The 24,893-nt window shown below is 47.6% G+C and overlaps 1 protein-coding gene and 2 long non-coding RNA genes across 7 annotated transcripts in view, besides 5 other annotated features; 2 read left to right on the forward strand and 1 right to left on the reverse strand.

Annotated features, from left to right (window-relative positions):
- The window catches only part of LOC100131635 (hCG1645011-like), a 30,050-nt gene extending 19,011 nt beyond the window's left edge, over positions 1-11,039 (forward strand). The window contains exon 3 of the long non-coding RNA NR_034062.1: positions 10,995-11,039. This is a non-coding gene — a long non-coding RNA (hCG1645011-like). The remainder of the gene's footprint in view (positions 1-10,994) is intronic.
- Positions 1-24,092, reverse strand: BCL6 (BCL6 transcription repressor). Of its 5 annotated transcripts, none has more exons than XM_047448655.1 (10): positions 22,527-24,092; positions 13,493-13,531; positions 12,157-12,327; positions 10,333-10,554; positions 7,674-8,645; positions 6,984-7,168; positions 5,355-5,522; positions 4,123-4,253; positions 3,565-3,702; positions 1-1,225 (listed from the first exon to the last, which is right to left on the reverse strand). In XM_047448655.1, exons 3-10 carry the CDS (start codon positions 12,315-12,317, stop codon positions 1,082-1,084), a joined length of 2,121 nt encoding a protein of 706 aa, XP_047304611.1. In that variant the 5' UTR covers positions 12,318-12,327; positions 13,493-13,531; positions 22,527-24,092; the 3' UTR covers positions 1-1,081. The 5 variants fall into 5 exon arrangements, with proteins under 5 accessions (XP_047304611.1, XP_005247751.1, NP_001697.2 ...); XM_005247694.5 differs by lacking the exon at positions 22,527-24,092 and adding an exon at positions 16,221-16,529; NM_001706.5 differs by having other exon boundaries at positions 5-1,225; positions 24,034-24,092.
- Positions 16,741-17,720: an enhancer, noted in NCBI's record as "H3K27ac hESC enhancer chr3:187455905-187456884 (GRCh37/hg19 assembly coordinates)". NCBI's record gives its function as "activates a minimal SCP1, AML or CMV promoter by ChIP-STARR-seq in primed H9 embryonic stem cells {active_cell/tissue: H9 hESC(primed)}" and the evidence as "EXISTENCE:reporter gene assay evidence [ECO:0000049][PMID:30033119]".
- Positions 18,222-18,397: a silencer, noted in NCBI's record as "fragment chr3:187457386-187457561 (GRCh37/hg19 assembly coordinates)". NCBI's record gives its function as "represses an EF-1alpha promoter that drives an FKBP-Casp9 reporter gene in an ReSE screen in K562 erythroleukemia cells {active_cell/tissue: K562}" and the evidence as "EXISTENCE:reporter gene assay evidence [ECO:0000049][PMID:32094911]".
- Positions 19,813-20,314: an enhancer, noted in NCBI's record as "H3K4me1 hESC enhancer chr3:187458977-187459478 (GRCh37/hg19 assembly coordinates)". NCBI's record gives its function as "activates a minimal SCP1, AML or CMV promoter by ChIP-STARR-seq in naive H9 embryonic stem cells {active_cell/tissue: H9 hESC(naive)}" and the evidence as "EXISTENCE:reporter gene assay evidence [ECO:0000049][PMID:30033119]".
- Positions 20,315-20,814: an enhancer, noted in NCBI's record as "H3K4me1 hESC enhancer chr3:187459479-187459978 (GRCh37/hg19 assembly coordinates)". NCBI's record gives its function as "activates a minimal SCP1, AML or CMV promoter by ChIP-STARR-seq in naive H9 embryonic stem cells {active_cell/tissue: H9 hESC(naive)}" and the evidence as "EXISTENCE:reporter gene assay evidence [ECO:0000049][PMID:30033119]".
- BCL6-AS1 (BCL6 antisense RNA 1) lies at positions 22,293-24,650 on the forward strand. Its single transcript, NR_173091.1, has 2 exons — positions 22,293-22,668; positions 23,868-24,650. It is a non-coding gene; the product is annotated as a BCL6 antisense RNA 1 (long non-coding RNA).
- Positions 23,205-23,730: an enhancer, noted in NCBI's record as "H3K27ac hESC enhancer chr3:187462369-187462894 (GRCh37/hg19 assembly coordinates)". NCBI's record gives its function as "activates a minimal SCP1, AML or CMV promoter by ChIP-STARR-seq in primed H9 embryonic stem cells {active_cell/tissue: H9 hESC(primed)}" and the evidence as "EXISTENCE:reporter gene assay evidence [ECO:0000049][PMID:30033119]".

Raw genomic sequence — 24,893 nt, forward strand, 5'->3', positions numbered from 1 at the left:
CCAGTTTGACTTTTCAACATTTTATTCTTATATTTGTACAGCTATATTTTACAACGCGGTAATGCAGTTTAGACACAGCCAAACCCTGTCTCCGGAGTAGTTATAACACAAGCATGACGCAGAATGGGATGAGACAAACATTCCCAAAGAGAGTTTAGTTAGTAACAACTTCAAGTCCCTGTGTCTGCCTACACTTCAAAAAGGGATGGTGCACGCTCGCCCATCATTGAAAACTTCCGTGAAAAAAGGCACCGTGAGGACACGTTGTACGGGTATATACAAACTGAAAACTAGAACAAAATTACACATTTTTCCTTCTGCAGATTTTTTTGTTCTTTTTGTTTTTTTTAATACACACTTTGTAAATTGTAAACCTTCACTTGCAAAAAAATACAAATACACTGAGGCATTTTAGACAAAATATTTTCTTACTTATACAGATGCAATACTTAAAATATTCTCTTAAGTGCTCTTTCTCAATAAAGATTCTCAGATCCGTGTCTGCCTGCAGATACAAAATCGAGCCTTTAACGCAGTTTTATATTTTTAATATATCTTTTTTAGGTTTATATATATTTATTTTATATATATATATATTTATATATTTACAACTCTGCCATATATTCCTTCACCTTTGGTTAAAAAAATTAAAGCCCTCTCTTTGACAACATACTGAAGTCTTGTCTTTTAAAAGAATGCACATTTACATACAAAAGAAACATCTGTTCCCACAAAACATATACATTCCTCATTTTGCAGACTAAAGTCAAGTCAGAACTTTTGCATACTCCCCTGCTTTGACATATAAAATGATTTTGCTTTTTGCTGACATGGTTCACCTTACACATAGGAGAAGAAGCAATATGATTTTCTTAATGTTTTATGGCAGTGGGGGAGGGGGAGCTGCTGCGGCTCCCAGTCCCCCAGGCCCCGACCCCCACCACCCCCAACCCCCAGCTATGATTTGCACTAGTGGATGAAAGAGGCACTACATCATGGGATGAACATTGTAAAGTGTTACAGTATCCTTTGGGTAGATTCTGAGAAGGGGCTGGAGACGAAAGCATCAACACTCCATGCTTCAGCAGGCTTTGGGGAGCTCCGGAGGCAGGTCAGTGGCTGACACGCGGTATTGCACCTTGGTGTTGGTGATGGCGCCATGCTTCTGGCGCAAGTGAAGTCGCAGCTGGCTTTTGTGACGGAAATGCAGGTTACACTTCTCACACTGCAGGGATATCAGAGGCAAACTGTTAGCTGTCATCAACCCAAGAAAGATGTCATTGCTCAAAGACCCAGAGAGGAAGATTCTCCCTACGAGGGACTGGGGCAGCTCTTGCCTCTCCAAGGCCAGGTGAAGAACCCATATGCATCCGGGCTTCTGCCGACAGATAAGCTAGCGTTGTGCAAATGTCCGTTCCCTGCTTTCCCAAGTGTTGCTTCTGCCTCTCCCTTGCTAGAGACGTCCTTCCCTGCCTTAACTCCACAAGTTTGAGTCTTATCCAAAAGTGCAGTTAGATGCAAACTCTTCTAATGATTAAGGCATTTCTGAATCTCTCAAGGATGAAAATAATCCTTGTTTTCCTTTGAGCCTCTGTAAGATTTCTACCTTTACCACACAGCCCTCCGTGTGCATGGATCCTTCTTCAGTGGGTAACACTTTGAGGGCAGTGGCTATTTTTTTCCTAAACTTTATAATCTTCCTAGGACCTCACAGAATATACCTCTTATTCAAATTATGCAATTAATCTGAACACATCTGGACAAATGGACTAGATCAGTCTGAATTCACGGAAATTCTGGAGTCTAGGGTAAATTTTTTTAAATGCAGTTATATTCTTTCCTAGGGTATATATCCTAGATAAGCTAACTAAACATTAGCAAGTGGAGCCGTTTCTTGATTTAATTCAATGAATGGGTAATAAGCGCTTTAGTTTAGATAAAAGTTACTTAAAAGTAAAATGGATGACTAAATGTAATGGGGTAATCTAGATGAGATCTTGAATGAGAAAGGACATTCTTAGATAAAAACAAAGAAAATGTAAGTAAAGTACGAACTTTAGCTTATAATTATATTATCAGTATTGGTTCATTAGTTGTGACAAATGTATGGAACTAACGTAAGATGTTAACAATAGGATAAAATGGGTGCGGGTAGGAGCCCTCAGTACAATCTTTGCAACTTTTCTATAAATCTAAAACTATCCTAAAACAAAAAGGGTAATAAAATATGTTCAGATAGAGTATATGTTTTCAAGTGAAAATGGAAATAGATGAAGACAAATAAAAAATGAGCAGGGCCATGTGTAAACTCTCTGGTCTTGGGAGACATAGAGAATCTACTGTATCTATGCCATTCACCGCTGTGTGTCCCCAGCATGTCATTTCACTCTCCGGGCCTTGGATCTCCCTTCTGAATGGCCTGGGTCAATACAGGCTGAAAGTCATTCTCAACTCTGATATCCTAGGCATCTAAAATTCTAGCAAATCATGATAGCAGATATTTATTTTACTATTACTATGTGCATGTGCTATCCTCAACACTTTAATCATTAGTTAATACTACAACTCCATGAAGTAGATACTATTTTCAAACTCACTTTACAGATTAGGAAATTAAGGTACTAAGAGGATAACGAATTTGCCCAAACAGCAAGTAAGAAGATATTCACTCACAGCTTGATCAACAAGTGAACAAAAATAACCATGTTTTGCAGGTTAACCTCCGGTATGTAGGTTAACCATTCATTGATTACTTCTTGTCCCCATCACCACCTAGAAGAATGTCATCAACTCCTCAAAGCAACCATAGGCAAAACGTACACAGATGAGCGTGGCTGTGTTCCAATAACCTTTTACTTAGGGACAATGAAATTTAAATTTCATATAATTTGCATATGGCACAAAATATTCTTTTACTTTTTAACTGTAAAAACCATTCCTAGTTCATGGAATGTTCAAACATTGGCACACAGGCTATAGCTGCCGAGACCCCGCCCTAGAACATTCCAATCCCAGTGAACCTATCCACAGTGTCGTGCTGCATGGCTGGCCGCCTCCTCTTTCTTAAAATGACCTTCTTTATGTTTTTTTTTAATTTTTTCCTGTAACATCATTAATTCTTATAACATTCTTTTTGTTCTCCTCCTCCTAAGACTGTTCCTTCTCAAACACCTTAGCTCCTCTTAAATGTGCATCTAGCCCAGTATGGGGTGTCCAGGAGGCAATCAATAAGTATTTGTGAAATGAATGAATCTAGGTGGAGTGAATCAAGTCTATGTATCCACAGTCTAGACTCCTCTCCTAAGGCCCAGATCACCTAGTCCCATACCCTCATTTTAAAGATGAGTCCCCTAATGCTTGGGCCAAGGTCAAGCAGGGTGTCTGGCCATTGGGCCCAGATCTAGGTCTTCCAACCATTAGCGTAGTGGTTGCCCCACTGTGTGCTTGAGATGGGAGCAAACAGTTCCACTGCCTCCCTGCTCCACCTCCTTCCCTGCGCTCCACCTCCTTCCCTGCCCTCCACATCCCCGCAGGTCAGAGAGCGGCCTCAAGAGGCTTACGTACATGGTAAGGTTTCTCTCCTGTGTGGATTCGCAGGTGGCTCTTCAGAGTCTGAAGGTGCCGGAAACGGGTGCCACAGATTTCACAGGGATAGGGCTTCTCACCAGTGTGGATAAGCACATGGGCACGGAGGTGGGCCACCTGAACGAAGAAGAAGGCATGAGAGGTCTTCTGGGGTGGGCTGCAGGCCTCTGGGCAGCCCCTCATTAGCACACAGCCAGTGAGTGGGCCTTTCTCCAGGCCACTCTGCTCACCTGCACACAGGGACTGAGTGGGCCTTTCTGCTGCCCACTCTGCTCACCTGCCCACTCCTCTGCTCACCTGCCCACTCTGCTCACCTACCCGCTCTGCTCACCTGCCCGCTCTGCTCACCTGCCCGCTCTGCTCACCTGCACACGGGGACTGAGTGGGACTTTCTCCTGCCCGCTCTGCTCACCTGCCCGCTCCGCTTGCCTGCCCGCTCCACTTGCCTGCCCACTCCTCCGCTTGCCTGCCCACTCCTCCGCTCGCCTGCCCGCTCCGCTCGCCTGCCCGCTCCGCTCGCCTGCCCACTCTGCTCACCTGTACAAATCTGGCTCCGCAGGTTTCGCATTTGTAGGGCTTCTCTCCAGAGTGAATTCGAGTGTGGGTTTTCAGGTTGGCTGGCCGGTTGAACTGGGCCCCACAGATGTTGCAACGATAGGGTTTCTCACCTATTACCAAGAAAAAGGGAAAAAGAAAAGCCATATTCAATAAGGAAGGTCTCTGCAGTCCGTGGCTCCTGGATTTCTAAGCAGCCTGCTCCTCCCTGAGGCCACTTGTGTTTTCCTTTCCCTTAGGGAATGTGAGAGAGAGAATCCAGGGGCCTGCCCCCACATCTGTCAGCCCTCTCTCACACACGCACCTGCATACCTCGCAGGGGACCAGGGCCAAGAAACAAGTGGTGGCACGGAGTAGCAACAATGCCAGGTGTGGGATAGGAGAGGGGGAGATTCCAGGAAGCCTGGGCTTTAGAACCAGCTTTGTCATTAGGATTATCTGCCTGCGGAACCTGGACAAGTCACTCTCCTTCTCTGGGCCTCAGTTTCCCTCTCTGGAACCTGAGGGGCTACTTCAGATTACCTGGGAAGGTTCTTCTAGCTTTTCCCTTGGATAAGACAGATTCACTCATCAACTCATTCACCAGGGAGACACAATCAGGCTGCTCTAGTTTCTCTCTTTTAGAACAAACAGATTTTTCCGCTTGTGGCAACTACAGCTGGATTCCATTTGCAAGAGGGGTGGGGCTTGGGCCTGAGTAGATGCTCAGCAGAGGAAACCAATAGAATGGCTGAACCTTCCTTCATGGAAAGTTTTTGGGATAATAGGGCCATTTACGGTACTAAGAGAGTAGATTTTAAACAACAAGCAGGTCATGAGAAGCTACCTGGTAAAGGAATGTGAGTTGATAAGGAACAAGTCATTGAAACAAATCAACAGGCTTTTTTTTCTGGCTTTACAAAAATTGAATCTATTTGTCTTTCCCAGACTTAGTCTCTTCACCTGTACAGTGGGATTAACACTTCTGACCCCAGCAAAGGCAGAAAAGCAGGATAGAGCATCTCAGAGGAAAGACAAAGGATACAGGGAGTAGATGAGTCGAGTCACTAAGCAAAGACAAGACAGGGTTAGACCCCTCGTTCAGGCCAGGATGGGGCCTGCCTCCTGCCTTGCCCCACCAGGTCTCCAGGCCCCACACAGCTTTCTCTAGGATCCTCTCCCTGTCCTGCCCCAATAATTGTGGAGAGTTCGGGTCGTGTGGGGCAGGGCCATACCGGTATGGACGGTCTTGTGGCTGGCGAGGTTGCCCTTGTAGCGGAAGGAGGCCTGGCAGCGGTCACACTTGTAGGGTTTGTCACTGTGGGTCTGCAGCGTGTGCCTCTTGAGTGAGGCCTCCTCAGAGAAGCGGCAGTCACACTCATTGCAGAAGAAGGCCCCGTTCTCTGTTGGAGGGTGGTAGGGGGACACCAAAGTCAGCACGAGGAAGGGAGGTAGGGCTCTAAGGCCGCTCTCCTCTGTAGCTACCCCTTGTGCCAAACTGAACTCTCAGTCCCTCACTCACCCACCCGACATTCATGGGAGCTCGGAGCAAAGGATCTGTGGGGACTTTATTTTTCTTATCATTCAGAGTCTTAGCCATAGAGAAGGGAGAAAGGAGATGGACTGAATTAAGGTACAGAAGGGAAGCTCAAACCAACAGGTGCTCAGAGGGCCTGCGCCAGTTTGAGGAAAGCTCAACAGAGATTTTCTTTCCCCAAGAGCTCTGAGAATTGATTTTTAAAAATAAGTTTACAGTTTTATTTACATTTATACACAGAAGCCCTAGGGCAAGACCCTTTACCTCTGAGCCTCTCTCTGTATCTCTGTCTTCAAAGTCAGATAATAAATCCCTGTCCTGCCTACCTCACAGGAGGATATTATATTACACAAAATAAAACACAAAGCATTCCAGGAATGTAAGATATAGGTCAAATTCAATTCTACTTTGAGGTCACTGAAGGAGGAATCAATGACGAACACTCTGTGGTCACCCTTGCACCTATTTGGATTTCATGTCTCCAAATCCTCCTGTGAGACTGGGAGACCGAAGCTGATGGTGGAAGTGGGAACAGAGGCCCAGAGAAAAAGAACTGGAGTGCAGAGCAAAGGCAAACTAGCCAGGGTGCAGGAGGGGACAGTCCCCGCTCTCCCATCTATGGGTCCATGACCCTGTGCCAAATCTCTTGGTGTAAGCAGCTGATTTATTTTTTCATTTGTTGTAACAATTTGAAAATGAGAAGTCACGGTGATTTTACCCTGATTAGGTACTACTGGGCTCTATTACTGTAGCCAGAGCTGGGCGAAGATTTAGACTTTTTTGTCTGGTAAAAACTGGGAATGCCAACCACCAACTATCCAGAAACTGCAATTTAATAATTCTCTTCAACTCTTTTAACTCGACTAATATTACTGAGTTCCTACCCCATGCTAGGGACTTACTACTACCTATGGGGGATGTGAGAATGAATAAGGTCAGATGCTTCTCCTTACAGAATGTACAGCCTGGCAGAGAATAACATGCACACAGGTCAGTCCTAGTCATTTTGGTATAGAGGAATGGAGAAAGCTCTGGGAGTTACAGCCAGCCCCACAAGCTACTTTTGCTGGCATGAAGCTAAAATGACTGTATGGTAAGTCTTGATTACCCCAGATCAACTCTAAAACCCCATCCCTTGCTTTGGTTAACCCAGTTCCCCAAGAAGCGAAGCGTGGGATGAACGGCTGGTGACTTGGAGTGCCAGTGGACTTCCAATTGAGGACTGCTCCAATCAGAGACAACAGCATAAGTAAAATGGAGCACAAAACCTATGGAGCAGAGGGGCCTTCCTTCTCCCTGACAAGAGGAGGGAGGGAAAAGGACTCACCACAGCTAGAATCTGAGTACTCAGACTGGGTCTCTCCCATCTCCTCAGGGAACGTGGGGCCAGCGGTGTGGAGGCACATCTCTGCATGCTGTGGGGACTGAGAGCCGCAGGACGTGCACTTCGGGGGGTGCATGTAGAGTGGTGAGTGGCTCTCGCTGCTGCTGCGGGGAGAGCCCGTCATGGACCTATGGACAGGAGTAAAAACAGCCTCAGCACCTGGGGCAGGGCCTCAAGACCACCCTCTCCTCCCTGTGTGTAGGCAAGCCCAGAGGCCAGAGCTGGGCTGCCCACTCAAGCTCTGAGACCCCAGAGTTGTCCTCAAGTTTATCTCCAAACAGTATCTGCAGAAAGATCACTGACCAGGGTCAAACTGAGCCAGAGCTTCCCCGCAGCCCACAATCTCTCTCAGTCCAAGGGTAGTAGGATGGTCCCCTGCTACATCAAGACCACAGGAAGTGCCTGTGGGATTTACAGAATGCTATTCTGCCCCAGAAGGGAATTATCTCTCTTGCTATGAAAAAATATACACTACTTAAGTGTAAAATACTTCCTTACTCAGACTAACTCAATCTATAGGCACTGATTCCACACCTCTAATAGGCTCAGCAATTCAGGCAAGAAAAGAAGAAACGACATGGAACCCTGCCCAGGTAACCCCTGACCTCAGACCCAGACAGTCTCTGAAATCACCTGTTAACGATGTTATTGAGCCGGCTGGCTTGTGGGATGGTGGAGTCCTCCCCGCTGGCACTCAGCTTGGTTGGGGACTGGAGGTCAAGGTTCTCAGGCTCCATGGGTGGCTGGCAGGCAGGTGGGGCCGTGTAGGCTCGTGGGGAAAGGCGGCCCAGCTCAGCCTGCTCAGGCCCCTCTGGTTTGGCATTCTGGTTGAGGCTGTTGAGCACGATGAACTTGTATTTCTTCCAGTTGCAGGCTTTGGGGTCAGTGGGGCTCTTGGCTGGAGGGGAGCCAGAAGCCTGGAGGATGCAGGCATTCTTACTGCTGCAGGACTCTGTGGGCGAGTTGGGCTGGCAGTCAGATTTCTGGGGGCTCTGTGGACTAACCAGACCCTTCCGGTTCAGGGGTGCATTGGGGGGCTCGAAATGCAGGGCAATCTCATCTTCCGAGGAGGGTCTCTCTTCTTCTTTGCTGGCCTTGTCACAAGGGAAGTAGGGGGCATTTCGGGCTGAGGGGGCAGCAGGTTTGAGGCCCTCAGCCACACTGTAGTGCATATCACTTCGTGCCTCTTCTGGGATTGTTTCCTTGGGTGAATAGATATTGCTGTGGCACACATTGGGGGACACCTCCAAAGTCGGCCGGCTGTACTCACCAGGGACTGGCCTGGCACTATCACATGGGAGTGCCCGCTCCTTGGGGAAGGGGTTGGCCACAGGCATCCGGACATCCCGAAACTCCTCATCGGAGAAGAGGAGGCTGCTGACAGGGAGGTGGCTGTACATGGAATAAGAGGCTGGCGGTGTGGACAGGCCACTGTACAGGCTGGGGGCAAAGGCTCTGCTCTCACACCCAGGGGCGCTCCTCAGTGGCAGGTTGTTCTCCACCACCTCACGACCCCGATAGGCCATGATGTCTTGGGGCATCAGCATCCGGCTGTTGAGGAACTCTTCACGAGGAGGCTTGATGGCAGAAACCATCTCTGCTTCACTGTGAAAGAAAAAAAGAGGAAAGACACCGGCCCCAAATCAGAACTGTTAAATAGATGACCTTCCAGTGACACTTATATAACCACATCTGTGTTTGAATTAGCTAGACATAGGTGACGTGGCTCTGGAGCAGGGAACCACAATTACAACGCATTTATGCTAGAAGCCTGGAAATCCAGCCTGAAATTGGGAAGACTGAGTCCCAGAGAAGGGAAGTGAGTTTCCGGCATGATCTATGCCTGATTAGACATAATCTTGTATGTTTAAGGCACATATCTATGCATGTGTGTGAATCTATAGCTCTTCTGATGTTATGAAATTTTATAGCTCACATAAAACTTTCAAAGCCCTTATCTCACTTCACCCATGCAAAATCCTGAAAGGAAGGAAAGGTGGTTATTATTATCTCCATTTTACACATAGGGAAACAGGAAAAGAATTTATACAATGTTGGTATGACACTTTTGGAGGATCATACACAAACGAGTAGCCTACTGAAGAAAGAACTTGTCCCAGATGCTGATGAAAGTTTACATAAAGAACAGGCAGCAAATGCCAATGTATGAATCCCTGGTCTAGAGCAGCCAGACCTGGTTTGCAAACCTAGCTGTGCCACTTAGCAGCTGGTGACATGGAGCCAGTTACTCAGCCATTCTAAGCACAAGGCCTGAGCCACTGAAAGTACTTGTAAATGACAGCAATGATGATCTTGCCACCGTCATCACTCACAGGAGACAAAGAACTCTAGCTGTATATACCTGAAGGAACATCATGTGGGTGAAATAAATAGGCAAGCTCACCATGATCACAGTTAACGGAGCTAGAACCCATAAGAAGGTTAAAGAGAAGCCAAAAAGAGAAGCTTTCTAACTGTCCAAGGTATGCTGTGTGGTTCTGGGAACACTGAGTTCCTGGCTCCTGGAGGTTTTCAAACACAGCCTGGAAAACCCTTCTGTTTGAGCGAGGATGCAATCACCCTAGCATGGCTGGATCAAAAGGTTCTAAAGAAGTTAAGCTCTGAGTCTCTGTTGCACTTAGTGAAGCTCTTCACTTCTTTGGATCTCAAGTTCCTCATCTTTAAATGAAGGTCATGTCTTATCACCCCTCAGGTAGGAGATTAAACTCAGTGAACTCCATTCAATTCAATAAATGTCCTGCCTAGTAGGAGCAGCGTGACATAAAAGGTGAGTAAGATAGCCCCTATAACCTTGAGTAGCTCACAGTCTGGTCGGGAACTAAGGCACATATGTAAATAGTTATAATAGAAGTCTAAAGGAGAACTAAAATACATATGCAAATATTAAAATAGAAGGAAAGTTTAAAGCACCAGCAAAATGCTTCACAACACAGAGGAAGAGCTGAGGGAGGAAAAGTGTTAATCAGAAACACTTCCATGGAAGAGCTGGCATCCAAGATTAGCCTTGCAGGATGGGTGGGAGGAGAGGGTATATTAAGTGAATGGAAGAAAGCAAGATGCGGTAATGCATAGGACATACCTGTATAGCCACAGGAGTTAAGTCTGCCTGGGGCACAAGAGTTAAGAAGAGCAGAAGTGTGCAACAAGAGTGGAAATGTGGGTTGCAGCATATCATAGAGGAGTATTTTTTCTGTATGCATGAATTATCAAAGGTTTCTGATCGGGGACTATCTCTTCCATCTCCGACGCTTCCACCCGGGTAGCAACTCACCTGGCCTTAATAAACTTCCGGCAAGTGTCCACAACATGCTCCATCTGCAGGTACATAGCCGTGGCCATCACAGCCATGATGTTGCCCTCCCGCAAATTGAGCCGAGATGTGTACATGAAGTCCAGGAGGATGCAGAATCCCTCAGGGTTGATCTCAGGATCTAGATTGATCACACTAAGGTTGCATTTCAACTGGTCTGTAAAGATGCTATAGAACAGGCCACTGTAAAACAAACAAATGTCCCACTATAGTAGACATATCGAATCTGTGATCCCTTACAGTCAGCACTGATACTCAGCCCCTTTCCCCTGGGCCTACCTCCAGAACTTCTACGGTAATTAATAATAGCTGCTATTTATGGAGAGCTTACCAAATGTCAGGAGTCATTAAGCACCTTACATACATTATCGTTTGCTCCTTACAACGCTGCAAGGTAGGTACTATCACTCTCTGCCTTTACAAATAGGGGAACTAAGATCAGGGGGGTTAAGTGAATATTCTTAAAGTCACAGGGCCTGTTTTCCTTTTAGTCTTAACTGTACAGATTACCAGAGTTAAATTTAGCCCCTTTGCAGTAACTATTCTTAGTCTACCTTTGTCATAAGCATTCCTTCTTGTTCCATTGCATTTACACTTATTTTTAAAATTCTATCTCTTTTTAGAATTTGGCTATGAATGACAAATAAATAAAAATATGCCTACATCTATACTCTACTGCTTTTATCAAAGTCCATAGATTAACAGAGGGTCTGTTATTCCTTGAAGACCCAACTCAAACCCCAAGCAATGCCTCCAGGTGCCATGCTGTCTGGTGGTGGAAAGAGTACTCAATTGTAAAGAAGAATTCTGAGCTATCATCTTGATTCTTGATTCTACTTTTTCTGAGTGGGTTGCCAGAAGTGAGCCAGACTTCCACCAAGTAGCTATGCAACTTTGGGTAAGATATTTAGCTTCTCTGCATCTTGCTTTACTCATCTTCAAAGTAGGAGGAACAATCATGTCTACCTTATAGTGTTGTGGCAAGAATAAAAATGTAAAGGATATAGAATGATGCCTGGCATATAGTAAGCATTCACTAAACATTATCTATTATTTTTATATCTCCATAAGCCTCTGTTATTTCCACTATTAAAAATCAGGTGCTTAGAGTAGATGTTGGATAAGTTTTCAAATAGCAATAGAGATCCCTGATTCTGTATCATTTAACCTCCCTGTGCTTTCCTTTTACCATCTATAAAATGAAGGCAATAGTGTAATGCATAACACTGAAGACTACTAAAAAGATCCAGGAAGATGATATCATGTAATATAAAATTGCTCTGAAAACTCGAAATACTTGATAAACATGAAGAATCAGCTAGTTCACTCTCACTAACTCTTGCATATACTCTGAACACCCATGGAAATTCAGTTGTAGCAAAAAATAAATACATTTATAGCATAAAAGAGCAAAACATTTCAAATTAACTTGCTTAAGCTACTTAAAGACAAAGAAAGTTCATTTGAAATCTTTTCTCATTTTTTCACTGGTTAACTGAAGTTATTCTCCATGTCTGCCCCAAACACATCCTTTCTTGGGGCAGTATATAATTTTTCTCCCTCTATGCCCACAGAACGTGGCTCTTTCTTTTCTAAAAGTGCATTCATCCATTCATTCATTCATTCACTTGGGAGCCTACTGTGCCACGCCATGGTGCTGAGATCTGGAGACAAAGCGAGACGTCATCCCAGATGCAGTAAAAGGCCCACATGTTCTGCCTTGCTTGGCTGCCAGCACCATCACCCCACTTTGACTTACCCACCCTTTCCTTTCAGATCCCTCACCTGCAGGCCATGAGGACCGTTTTATGGGCTCTAAACTGCTCACGGCTCACAACAATGACAACATCAGTCAAGATGTCTCGACTCCGGAGACGATTAAGGTTGAGAAGAACATCACTGGCATGGCGGGTGAACTGGATACAGCTGTCAGCCGGCGAGGCCATTTTGTCTTCACTTGAAAAAAGAGGCCAAAATCCTGTTAGTCCTCCAGAACCTGTTTCCTGCTTGCCACAGGTATCAGAGCAGGTGGCTTAGCCTGCTAAGGTACAGAATGCAACTCAGGTCCCTTGTATTTGATCTTTGAACAATTCATAGTCCAACTCTGGCCATTATTCTTCATAGTTTTAAAATGGGGAGAATAACTTTTATCCAACAAGTTGGGATAGAAAGCCCTTTAGGGGAAAAGCAAAGGGAATGAATATTTGTTGAGTGTTTTTCCCACATACCAAATACTCTGCCAAGCACTGACAGGTAGTGAGTATGTTGCAATGGAGAGACACCGTGTTTTTTGTTTTTGTTTTTGTTTTTTGAGATGGAGTCTCACACTGTCACCCAGGCTGAAGTGCAATAGTGCAATCTCAGCTCACTGCAAGTCCGCCTTCCCAGGTTCAAGTGATTCTCCTGCCTCGGTCTCCCGAGTAGCTGGGATTACAGGTGCCTGCCACCATGCCCAGCTAATTTTTTTGTATTTTTAGTAGAGATAGTGTTTCACTATGTTGGCCAGGCTGGGTCTCAAACTCCTGACCTCGTGATCTGCCCAACTTGGCCTCCCAAAGTGCTGGGATTACAGGCATGAGCCACCGCGCCCAGTCAAGACACTGTGTTTTAAGATTATCAGGCTAGACTTGCCTTTTGCTAGCTGTGGGACTTTAAGCAGGTTGTTTACTGGTTTGGGGCTTTGGTTTCCCCAAATGGAAGTAGTAATACCTATGTGGTTATAAAAGTTAGAAATACATTCCTCGTTCATAGGAGGCTCTCAAAACTCATAGCTATTCTCATAGGTATCTTATTTCATCATCTCAGTCACCATTGGTCTCTCTCTACTGTTAGGCTTTAGAGTTGCTTGACTTTTGTACCTCGAGGAGCTAGCATATTGTTGGTGAACATTAGCTGGCTAAATTAGTTTGTACAAAGAAAGAGTAACAATGATTGACCATGCAAGTGGTAAGACAGTCTAATACAGAGGTGAAGGATGAGGACTAGGAGTGATGTAGAGGGAACTGGTTATCCTTGTCTCATATAATGAACAGTGGCAAAGTTCACAGAGACACATGTATTGGCAAATTCAAAAGAAACAGTTTGTCCCAACATTTTAAAGCATATAATTTTATTTACTTACCCAATGCCTTGCTTCACAGTCCAAAATTTTGCTCAAAACCTACAGAGAAGAGAAGAAAGCAAACAGAAATTGATTTAACGAATGTAAGATTGTCCACTATAGTCTTATTTTAGGACATACACATTTAGTTTTGCTTTGATAGTTGCAGCTTGCCAGCTGGTGTGGTTTTACCACAAGCTAACAAACATTTTCCAGCTCTGCTCTTACGGAAACAACAGGCACCCGAAGCTATGAGATAATAATGTTTTTATCCAGAGTACTGGGAGTACAATTGCATACATTAATTAGTTATACATACATACATACATATATTTCCTTCTTCAAAGAAAAAATTTATACTATCCAAAGGCCACTAGAGTTTATGGGAAAGAAAAAATAAGAAAAATGGTTCTGTCAACATTAACAATAACGATTCGTCCGTGGCCTAAAACCACTGGACGTCATTCAAAACCTGCTAAAATATTATCTTTCAAGCCTTAGAATGATTCCGCAAGGACGATAGGGCCAATATCTTTATCCTTATTTCACTGGCGATGAAACTGAGACTTAGGGGTTCAAGTGGCTTGCTCAAGACAAACAGCTAGGCAGTATTTCCTGCCCATCTGAAACATTAAGACTGAATATAGACTCTGCAGAACACAGCCTGAGATGTCATGTCTACGTATTCCTTGAAAACCTTTGTCTTCTTTTTCAAAGTGTTCTCTCCCTTCCCTACTGGGTCTAAGACCAGACAGAATGCCATTGCTTCTAAGTTTGTGCTTCTCCCTGCTGGTAAAAGACTTAACTATGTGATTTAGCTGAGAACTGGCCAGGGAGCACTAAACCTTGAAGAGATTTAATGAAATATGTACCTCCTTCCAAACCGGCTTCTCTAAAACAAAATCATTAAAAGCACAGGTGTAAGACCCTCATTTATGATCAAATGTGGGCTGCAAAATAAAACAATATTTGAACTGTCTTCCCCCCTTTAAAAAAAAAAAAGCAGAACCTTTTAGAGCTATTTTCTGGGTAAAGAGGCCTGAGGCCAACAAGGTCATGTTGGGCCATGTACATGGTTGGTGACCCGGCCCTAGGTCTTCTGGCTCAAATTCCTGTCCCCTTTCCAAATCAGCCTACGTGCTGTAGAACATGCAAGACAGCACCCTGATGTGGGTGAATCTCATTTTTAAGTTCCTTCCCCCACACAAACACTTTGCCCCATTCCAGGCTGCTGAGTCTTACCAAATGAGCACTCTAAAATGAGAGGTTTCCTTGAGTCTGTAACCAAACACTCTGACATTTCTCTGTGGTCCCAAGTGCCAGTCACTCAATCCCATCGGCTCCAAGGTTAGTGTGTGCATGTGAGTGAGTGGGGACTGGAGGGAAGGAAGTGGGGAAGGGAGAAGACAGAAAAAGACAAAAGAACCTATCTCCTCCTCTCCCCAGCCCAACTCGAGATAGGCAAAGAGAGATAGACTAACTCGGTCTTTACCAAACTTCAAGGATTTTCTCCTTTGCAAAAGAAAGCTGAAGACACATGGGAGTGGGAGGTTTACTTAAAAACTTTCCTCTCTTCCTTCATGGAAGGGATCCTCAAACACTTCTGGAATACCTAGGCTGTTCTTTAACCAGCTTCAACCACCAGCTCGCTTGTGGATTTCCAGTCGCAGGCTTCTGGAACCACAGGAAGCCCAGATTTGCCATTTCACCATGACAAGTGGCAATGACTCACTCCAGATGCGGATTGAAACAAACAAACAAATTCCCCTGTGTCCACTGTCAGCTGGGCCTTGGGCTTTTCACCGTAAGCCTCTGCCTGGCCAAAAACAAATGTACATACACGAGGCGCAGGTCCTTCTCAAGTTCACTCCTTTGCAAGCCAACTCGTCTTAAGAACCAGCCCCCCCCAACTCCTGAGTGTGTGGGTTGAGTGTGGGCAATGTTGTCACCACCCCCACCCCAAATGCCGCAGGTGTGGAAGCACCACCAGCATTTGGTTTGTATTTTTACAGAGCTCTTAGTCCTTTCCCACCCCCTCAAGATTGCATCTTATCCTTATAACAGCCCTGCTTTATTAGGGAGGGAACTGAGGCTCCGGGTGAGAGGCCTTGCCCAAAATCTCAAAACCAATTTCCAGCAAGTTCTGGACACGCCGCGTCTCCTAGATTCAGCCATTCCACCAATGCCACACACAAGACTACCCACAAAAACAATCTCCAAGGAGCAGGGCTGTCAATGAGAAACTGACAACTGCTGGCTGCCCCCAGACCTGGACTTCCCATCCCAATCTCCCCGCACCCACGCTGGGTCAGTAACCACCATGGGAGAGTTAAATGTTTTCTCTTCCCTTCCTCCCTTTAGCTCTTTTGGCGCTTTCCTTGTGCATAGCCAACTAGGCTCCTTGAGAAGACAGATCCTTTAAAAGAGCTTTCCATTGAAGAAGAAAACAGGAACCAAAAAAAAAAAAAAGCAAAGAGAGAGAGAAGACAGCAGAAACGACAGAGAGAGAGAGAGAGAGAGAGAGAGAGAGAGAGAGAGAGAGAGAGAGAAAATGAGAGAAGAGGGAGAGGCGAGGTTAAGAGCCAGAGAGCAAGCCAATACAAAAGACCCCATCCTTTTCCTCCCTCCTCCCCTGGGCTGGCACCAGAAAGCCCCATTTTCTCGCTCACACATAAGAGCACAAACACCAGCCCTGCGCGCCGGGGCAAGCCTAGGCAGACTTCGCTACCCCACCCCGACCACTCCGTACCTGTCTTCCAGGGACTGCCCGCCCCTGGGCGATCCACCTCGAAGCCCCCCGCAAGGCGCGACGGAGGCTTTGTGGTATGACCGTGGCGGCCCTTAATTTAGTTACATTCAAATAAAACTTTTGGTGCACCTCGGTAGCTAACATTGTGTGTATGCCTTTTTTTTTTTTTTTTTTTTTTTCCTGTTACGCCGTCAATGCAGCAGGCAATGAGGGGAATGACACAGCCCTCTCATTCCCGGAACGTAGTCAATCTCGGCTCTGCGGATTTCACAGAACACACTTTGCCTATTGCCGGCTCCAACAAGAAGTAACTTTCCAGGAAGCTGCCGGCCCCGGCAGCCGCCAGGATCGCTGCCTGCGCTGCGCTGGCCGCCGGGGATTCACCCAGGGAGGCGGGGCCGCTGGGGAAGGCTCGCGGGGAATACAGCACACTTTCCCCTAAATCCCTCGTCCGCGCCGAGTGCAGGGCTCTCAGAGTTCACCTAGTCCCACCTCTCACCCACAACAGTTTATAAATGGGGAAGGTCAGACAAGTTAGTAGCAGAGCTGGGTCTAGAACCCAGGAGTTCGAATACAATCCGAGGCTCATATCGAGACTTTAAGTTGTCCGATTCCGAAGTTTATTTGCTTTTTTCCCTCTTTTTGCCTTCCATTCTCCCTCACCCCCGTTCTTTTAGGGGAATGTTTGAGCGAGACTTCAAGGTCAAAAGATGGAGTCCCTAGGGGCTGAGGGTCTCCATCATAGGCGCCCCAGGCAAGGTTGGAGAAAAACTAAACAGAAAGCCCCTTCCGCCTACGTTGGCAAGAACGGGAACCCAGCTCCACTTGGTTTCCGCCCAAAGTCTTTAGAACAGGAGCTGCCAAGCCGTAAGGATTTCCGAATCCGATTTCCCCGAAACCGTAGAGACACAGCTTGGACTCGGCAAAGGCCGGGGCCCCGACCCCTGCGCGCGCACTGGCACTCTCCAAAGTTGCCTCGCCTTCCTGTGGCCCTCCCGGGAATTATAACCCCCGGGTGCCATGTCCTAATTGGTCTCGGTAGCAGGCTCCGGGGTGCGCTTTCGGGGGCTAGGGGACAGCGAAAGACTCAGCCACAAAGGCCGCAGTCTGGTCCTAAAACTAGCCAGTGGCGTCACACTGCGCCGCTCATCCCTTCTGCGGCAAGCGGAAGGGTCAGAGTCGGTCTGCAAAGAACGAGCCTTTGGCCTCAAAATCCTACATTGAGGCTTTCTCACCCCTTCGCCCGGTGGGATAAAGGTGAAAGAGACGGTTGGGATTTAATAAGGGGTAGGGATGAGAATCTGGGAAGTTAAAATGAAGTAAGTGCATTTATTGGAAATTAGGAGTCCCGTGGTTCCGGGAGCTCAAACCGAATGGTGTTTTTACCGCTGCCTAACGCTAGAGAGAGCCCTCCATCAAGGTTTGAAACCGTCAACCCCTTTCTCGCCCCTCCCCTCCTTCCCATTGACCTAGTTTGGCCAGAGCCTCCCGATTTGGAGAATGCCTTCCGCCCTTCCCCCCTCCTCTCCAGCCAGAGAGGCTACAGAGGCTGTTGGATTATTGGTAATCTAATAACTCCAATAACCCGCTGAAAAATCCAAAGGGAAATCTGAAAGTGTAAAGCACTGTTTAGGGACAAGGACAAGGAATTTTAATAAGGCTGCAACTGCCGTAGTGAACCCCGCATCAGGGGCCCTGCCGTGGGGCTCCCGGTCTCAGCAGTGTTTCAGCCAACTAGCTGCACGGCTGCAGACACCACCGTGGTCCGGCGGCAGGGGGTGAGGTCAAATCGCGGAGCTGTTTTTATTCTTGGGGGAAAACACTCTTCGCCCTCTTGGCTGGGGAACGGGAGGGTGCAGGAGACGACAGTAAATAAAAGCGAATTTGATAACGCGATGGCCTCGACAGCCGCTTTGGATAACCGAGGTGTTCGGGGACATTGTGTCCTGACTTTCATTTCTATCACGTTTCCTGCCAACAGTGCTCTTGCAAGCCTGCAAGCTTCTAGGAAATGCAATAAAACAGAGGGATGTGTTTTATCATCAAGATCTGAAGAGGAGTTGCAGAAGGGACGTTCCCCATACGCTCAGCGCGAGACAGCCTTCCAGAAGGGCCCGAAGACAATGCCAGCAAATCGCGTCCCGGAGCAGAGATCCCTCGGCCGTCCTGGCTGGACTGGGCTCAGCCTTTGCAAAAAGGCTGGCGGGGGAGGGGAGAAGCATGATCTCCTCAAGCAAACAATGCCTTTAAAAATCCGATCTGGAAAGAAGTCAGCCAAGGTCCTTATTCACGTTAATGAAGATGGAAGGCACTAACTGTCCTTGGAAAGCGATGAGTCAAACTTGACCGCGCTTCAAACTCGTTCCCAGATTCGTTTCCAGTCCGAACAGAGGCGCGTTTCTCCGACGCGGCCTCCGACGGCTCCCGCAGTGGGAGGGGCCGAACTCGATCCCCGCCGACCCGGGCGGGGGCGACGGCGCTGTCTCCCCCTGCAGAGCGCGCCTGCTGCCGCTAGGGGCCGCCAGCATGCGGACGCGCGTTTGCCATCTTAAGTCACGAGCTCGGAGAAAGAAAACTTTACGGAGGAACTGTTGTGGCACAAATTCTGGCCTATCCACATGACCCCCACCCCCTCACACACACACACCCGGTTTCTCGCCAGGCTACTATGCAGAGGATGTTAGGAAGGGGAAGAGAGCGATTTCAGAATCGAGGCTCGCCCTGCAAGTCTTTGGTCCAGGCCTTAACCCCCCTCTTAACACGCAAACCCCCGAGCTCCGAGACCCACACCCTTCAGCACCATCTGGGCTTTTCGTGTCATTACCGAAAATCTTAGGCCATATTTTCTTTAAAAAAAATCCTCCAAGACTGCTGGGGAGCGGTTTCCAATGAACACTGGCAACAAAGGTGACCTAAGAGGTTAAACTCATGGTTCTGGCAGCCGCTCCTTTCTCATAAATACTTCTAAGGAGCTGAGATAAACCCGCCTTTGGCTTTCAGTCACTGACATGAAATTCAGAAGCTTAAAATCTGGTCCTGGTTAAGTCACTAACTCACCACTAACAAGCCTCCTCGTCGGGCCTGTTTCCTCAACTGCAAAACAGAGTTGTACGTCCCAAAGCCCCTGAGCTCCTAGGTGGCATCCTTCCACTACCGACTTCCCCTAAGAGGGGCCACAGGGACAGGAAGATGGTGTGTTCGAAGCGGGTTATTTGTGGTTTTTCTTAGTGCAAATAGATGCTCATCGCTGAGTGATGGGCAAGCAGCGAGGCCTTTCTGATTTTCATCCCTCTTGCCAAAACTTTGGAGGTTGTATGCCATCCCCATTGGAGGGTGCCCTCCTTCTGTCAGTCCTAGCATCTGGTCAGGGTACCGCCGCCCGGGAGGTGGAACGGCGAGCCCACCGCCCATGGCCGCGAACTCGATCTCAGCCCACCGCTAGGTGGCAGGCCAGCCCGTCCGAGAATCGCCGCGCGGCCGCAGCTTCCACACCGATCCCTACCCGCCCCTCTTTATTTTCTGTCTGGTGGGGGCGAGGGTTGGGGGTGTGATTGCCTCTAAAAGCAAAGCTAGAAAACATTTAATTTAGTGTATGTAATTCCGTTCCTCCCGATGCTCCCGCCTCTAGCAACCACAACGCGGTATCTGGAGCTGGTTTCATGTATCATAAGTTGATTTCTCCCCCAGCCTCCGAAAAGCTTTATGTACTGGGAAGGGAAAGAAGGTGCACTTGTCTTCAAAAGGCAGAATGGCACTCGACAGTATTGGCAGAGATTCTTGCCAAACACTGGTCATCCAGCAAAGAAAGTCGGGAATAAACTCCTGATCTTCTCGGAGGAAAGGGGCGCTGGGGGCCGAGTGCTGGATCCCACTCAGGCTCACTGCGCCTGGCAAAGCGGGGGAGTGGGGAGTCGGGTATGGTCTTTTGGTGAAGTTGTGGGTCTCGGAGTGGACATCGGGAGGGTTGGGAGGGGCCGTTCCTGGTTTCCACTGGGGCAAAGAGAAACCAGCCAGTTCTGCCACCACGCTGCACCCTCGCTGTGCTCGCGGCGGCAGCGGCGGTCCCACTTGTTGCGCAGTGCTGGAAACCGGCACGCGCCATTCGATGTTGATTCACAGAGGGCTACAGACCAGCCTACCATTGCTCCACGCCATCCACAAACCTCCTCAACACACCCCCTACACATACGTCCTGCCACCGCCGGCAAAACTACAGCATTTCCAGCCACTATGGTGTTTTACACCAAAACATCCCTCACTATCTCGGTATCAGACAGGCAGCAGAATTAAGATGCCCTGAGAAGTCAATCCAAGGGGAAGGCCGGGCTACCTCCGCCTGGAGAACTCTTCTACTTAAAATCAACCAGGCACCCTCCCCCCACCAAAAAAAAAAACCTTAGAACCACGTTGCCTATTATAACACCATCCTAGTTGGAAAGCAACATTTTTCTTCCCTACTTGATAAACTTCAAAGTCCTTTTTATCCGTTAGTTTTATCTCCCCTATTTTTTTTAAATCTCTGGGGGAAAAATGTTTCATAAGTTCACTTCCCAATATTTTTCAAAAATTGACTTTTGCCAATAGTTTCACCCACCGAGGGGTGGCGCTGCTGCACCGCCTCCTCTATATCTCTTAAGTTTTTCACAACAAAGTGGGTTGTGAGTGTCATTACCCTGTAGGGGATAGAGGGAAGGAAGGGTTTTGACATCTAGCCGTGGCTACCATTTACTCAACCAATAACTGGAACTCTTCAAGGGCTCAGCAAACGACAACTTAAGCATTTAGAGTCCCATCCCTATCCACCAAACCCAGAATAAGTTAGTCTTTTCAAGAAAGCATTGGTATAAAACCCTTCAAAACTGAAAAGAAGAAAGGGGCAATTGGAGAATTCCCACTTTTTCTGGCTGTCTCCTTCAAGTCGCCCAGTTTTTATGAACAGCATCTAGCCTTACTGTCACTATCAACAACCCTTAAAACTAGCCAATGCTTCGGCCTCTAGTATTGGAAAGTCTTCCAAATAGGATACTGGAAACTTCTATTTATAAGCTTGGGGTGGCGGGCGGGGCGGGGAGGTGGAGAGAGAGTTGCCATCTACAGGTTTCTATTTTGGCCTGAAGACTCAACTGCAGTCATTAGAGTAAGGGAATGCCCATCTCCTGGTACTTGTTCGCCATTTCCTCCTCCCCCAGAGACAAATATCTTTTCGTCTTTTTTAAAAAAGTATATATTTTAAAGCAAGAATGTGATTTCATCTCTCTTCTTTGAGCTCATGTTTGCTACCTCCAGGAATAGCGTGTGGACTAGGGCCAGATGAACTTCAACTTGGGCTGCAGATTTACGAGGTTCTGTTCTAGTGCCAAAGGCTCTTGGTAGTAAATAGTGAGCAAAATAGATACCTGTCTCCTGATGGATCTTGCCGCCCCCTCTTTTTTTTTTTAAGTTATTTATTAAAACCACACACACCTTGCAAAGAAAAAGGGAAACTGGCAGTCTCTGTAGAGGAAGCCGGTGGCATCGCTCAGAGCCACAAACTGTATTTCTAAACAGCCCTTTCCCTGGTTCCCTCTCTCCTGCCCCACTTTTTTTAAAATCCAGACTGTAAAAAACACATCTACTGACACTCACTTTACTTTAAAAAAAGAAGAGAAAAAGTAAAGCGTTACAAGACTTTCCTCCTGGAAACTATAAACTGAAAAAAAAATCCATAAAAGATTAAATCCTGGCGGGTTGTGGGGTGGCGGGGGCCGGCGGGGAGGGGGCGCGGAGTGGAGATTGGCTCTCTGAGGTGGTCAGGGGCCCTGTGACAGCTTGGGACTTTCAGCACCTGGTTTGGGGTCATTTATCTGCTCAACTGTCAGGACCCCCCACCCCCAAACCCCAGCCACCAACACAACCATCGTAGAAGGGAACACAACACAGAGGGTCTTTTTTCATTTTTTTAAAAAATCGGTTTGGTTGTGTTTTTGTTTTCCATGGGGGAGCTTTAAAACTCATTATTGCAACACTAGTTCCATTTTTCGCCAGGGTTCCAATAACACGGCATCATAAAGGCAACGCAACCCACAGTTCTCAAGACATTTACCACGGTCACTACATCCGGCAGCGGGGTGGCCCCTAGCTCCTGCTGCCCCCCCGCCCTTTCTCCCCGCCCGCCCCCGGAGCTCAGCCGATTTCTGAGGCTCCAACTCTACCCACTCCCTCCCCGGGCCGCCGCCGCCGCGCCTTCCCCCATTCTTACTCCCTCGAGGAGAGCCACAGGTTGCAAATCCAACCAACCTCGCAATCTATTTTTGCAAAATCACTCACAAAGATCTCCCTTTCGCGCCCGCGCCCGCTCCTCCCGCGCCGGGTCCCCTCAGCCACGGCCACAAAGTGCCCTTCTCTCCTCCTGAGTCTTGCACATAAGGAACGCGGGCTGGGGCTCTGTTCGTCTTTCTCCTCGCCCAAGGTAAGGACCTCGGGAATCTGAAGCCTGGCGTCCACTACGCTCAGGCCCGCAGTTCCCTTTTTACAGAGCTTGCACCATGGGAAAAAATAAAATAAAATTTAGGAAAGGGAGGCAACAGCCATTGGGAGCCAACACAGAGTCACGCAGCGCCCAAAATACAAACACCGCAGCGGCCAGAAATCCCGCCACCTTTCTCGTTCTCCCAGGCTGTCCTGTCGAGGTTCCCTGAGTCCCCCCGCACACTGAAAGGCATCGCAGGTGCAGTGCGCACCCCTTTCCCACCCACCCCAAGAAGCCCTGTCCCGCCATCAGTCTCTCTCCTCGGGATGAGCAGGGAGAGCGCGCGGAGGTTCCCGACTCCCTCGACTACAACCAAGAAAGAATAATTTTCAAAGTGTTCAACATCCCCGCCCCCAAGCTCCCCAAAACACAGGGGCAGGGAACACCAAAACACTCGGCTCTCATTAGGAAGATCACGGCTCTGAAAGGAAATAGTAGACACGATACTTCATCTCATCTGGATTTATGACCAAAAAAACAAAAACAAAAACCCAAAGAGTTCGCTTGCATTTTTTCCTTCCAAATCTCGGTTCGGCTCGAAGGCAGGGAATCTAAAAGACCGAGGCCGATGGAAGAGAGCCAGCGGGGCGAGCGAGCGGGCAGCCTCCCTTTTTGCCTCCCGGAGTTACCCAGAAGGACAGGGGAAGGGAAGGAAGAAGAGGCGAGGAAAAAGAGGAGGGAGGGAAGCGGAGGCCAGGAGCGACGGAGCAAGGAAAGCAGTTTGCAAGCGAGAAAAGAGGGAAAAAACACAGCCGCACGAATCCAGAGAGATCACAAGCCGTACGCAAGCAGCAGCAGAAAGAGCGAGAGCGCGAGCGCGCGTCCTCTCCGCGGTCTGGGGCCAGACAGCCCCCAGACTAGCCCGAATCACCCCCCAAGCACTGTCTCGTCCTCTCTGCTCCGGCCGCCCCCTAATTCCCCTCCTTCCTCTCCTCCACCTCCTTTCCAAAAACCAAAACAACACAAGGGAGGGTGGCAAAAGCCTCCCCAAACCGGCCGATTCACTCAAAGACAACAATAATAATAATAAATACATAACAATCTATATCCTATGGTGGGAGAGACGTGGGACTAATCTTCGGCATTTATTTTAACACCTGACAGCTAGAATAAATAAATATATACATTTATATCAATAGATACACATAGAAAACTTGGAGCCAAAGCATTTGGCAAGAGCGGAAAAAAAAAGAATTAAAAGGTAAAATAATGATCATGAGCAGCGGCGGCGGCAGCGGCACCAGCGGCAACAGCGGCGGCGGCGGCAGTAGCAGCAGCAGCGGCGGCAGCAACAGCAATAATCACCTGGTGTCCGGCCTTTCCTAGAAACTTCTTGCATCACCACTTCTAAGAACCCCAGTTCTAAGAATCAACAGAGCTCAATTCTCGGAATTTGAGCTTCGGACTTTACCACTGCTACGTGGCAGGGGAGGACTTGGTGTCAGCTCTCCGAGATTTTTACTGCCCCTGGCCAACCAAAAGCCCTCAAAGCCACAAGATTTTTTCACTGGCCGGCATATTTCGAGGTCCTCATAAGCAGAGCGTCTCGGATTTGGAGGTTCCGGTTCGAGGCTCGAGGGGCCTGAAGGTGGCTCTCCCTCCCCGGGCCCAAGACGATGGTATGGCCTGCTCCGCCACCATCACGTGGGCTCCTCCTCTGTGACGTCGGCGCCTTCGCTGTAGCAAAGCTCGGCCTCTGGAATTCTGAGAACTAATTTGCTATTCGGTGACATAAGAGGGGGAGTGCGCTTTGCTTTCCCGGGGTCTGGGGCTAATTCCTTCTTTCTTACCCATAAACTCAGCAGATCGAGCTAAATGCACAAAAGGGAGCGAGAGGTTTGAACCACTGGGAAAAGTATGTTATATATATAGTAGGGTTAGAGAGGCGAGTAAGAGAAAAATAAAATAAAATAAACATCACAGCTCTTTCCAACTAGAATATTAGGCACCACGAGAAAAATATTTGCCAAGCAGTTTTCGGTGGGTTCATTTGCTTTATTTTTATTTAGGACAGGGGTTTTTGCTGTTGTTCTGGGTTTTTTTCTTTCTGGTGTGGTGGCTTGGGATTTTTGGTTTCTGTATTTTGATGGTTTATGGATTTTTGCTTCTGATTTTTTGCCTTTTGCAAGTTTGTGGTGTTACGTAAATCACAGGATCGGCATCGG

The sequence above is a fragment of the Homo sapiens genome, chromosome 3 (assembly GCF_000001405.40).
Source record: "Homo sapiens chromosome 3, GRCh38.p14 Primary Assembly".
NCBI classification, from domain to species: Eukaryota; Metazoa; Chordata; class Mammalia; order Primates; family Hominidae; genus Homo; species Homo sapiens.

Excerpts from the sequence above, each read along its gene's own strand:
- BCL6 (XM_047448655.1), bottom strand. The coding sequence starts at position 12,317 with ATGGCCTCGCCGGCTGACAGCTGTATCCAGTTCACCCGCCATGCCAGT. Across the intron at positions 10,555-12,156 it reads ACGGTCCTCATGGCCTGCAG|TGGCCTGTTCTATAGCATCT; the intron begins GTGAGGGATCTG and ends TTTGTTTTACAG. Across the intron at positions 5,523-6,983 it reads GTACTCAGATTCTAGCTGTG|AGAACGGGGCCTTCTTCTGC; the intron begins GTGAGTCCTTTT and ends ACCCTCCAACAG.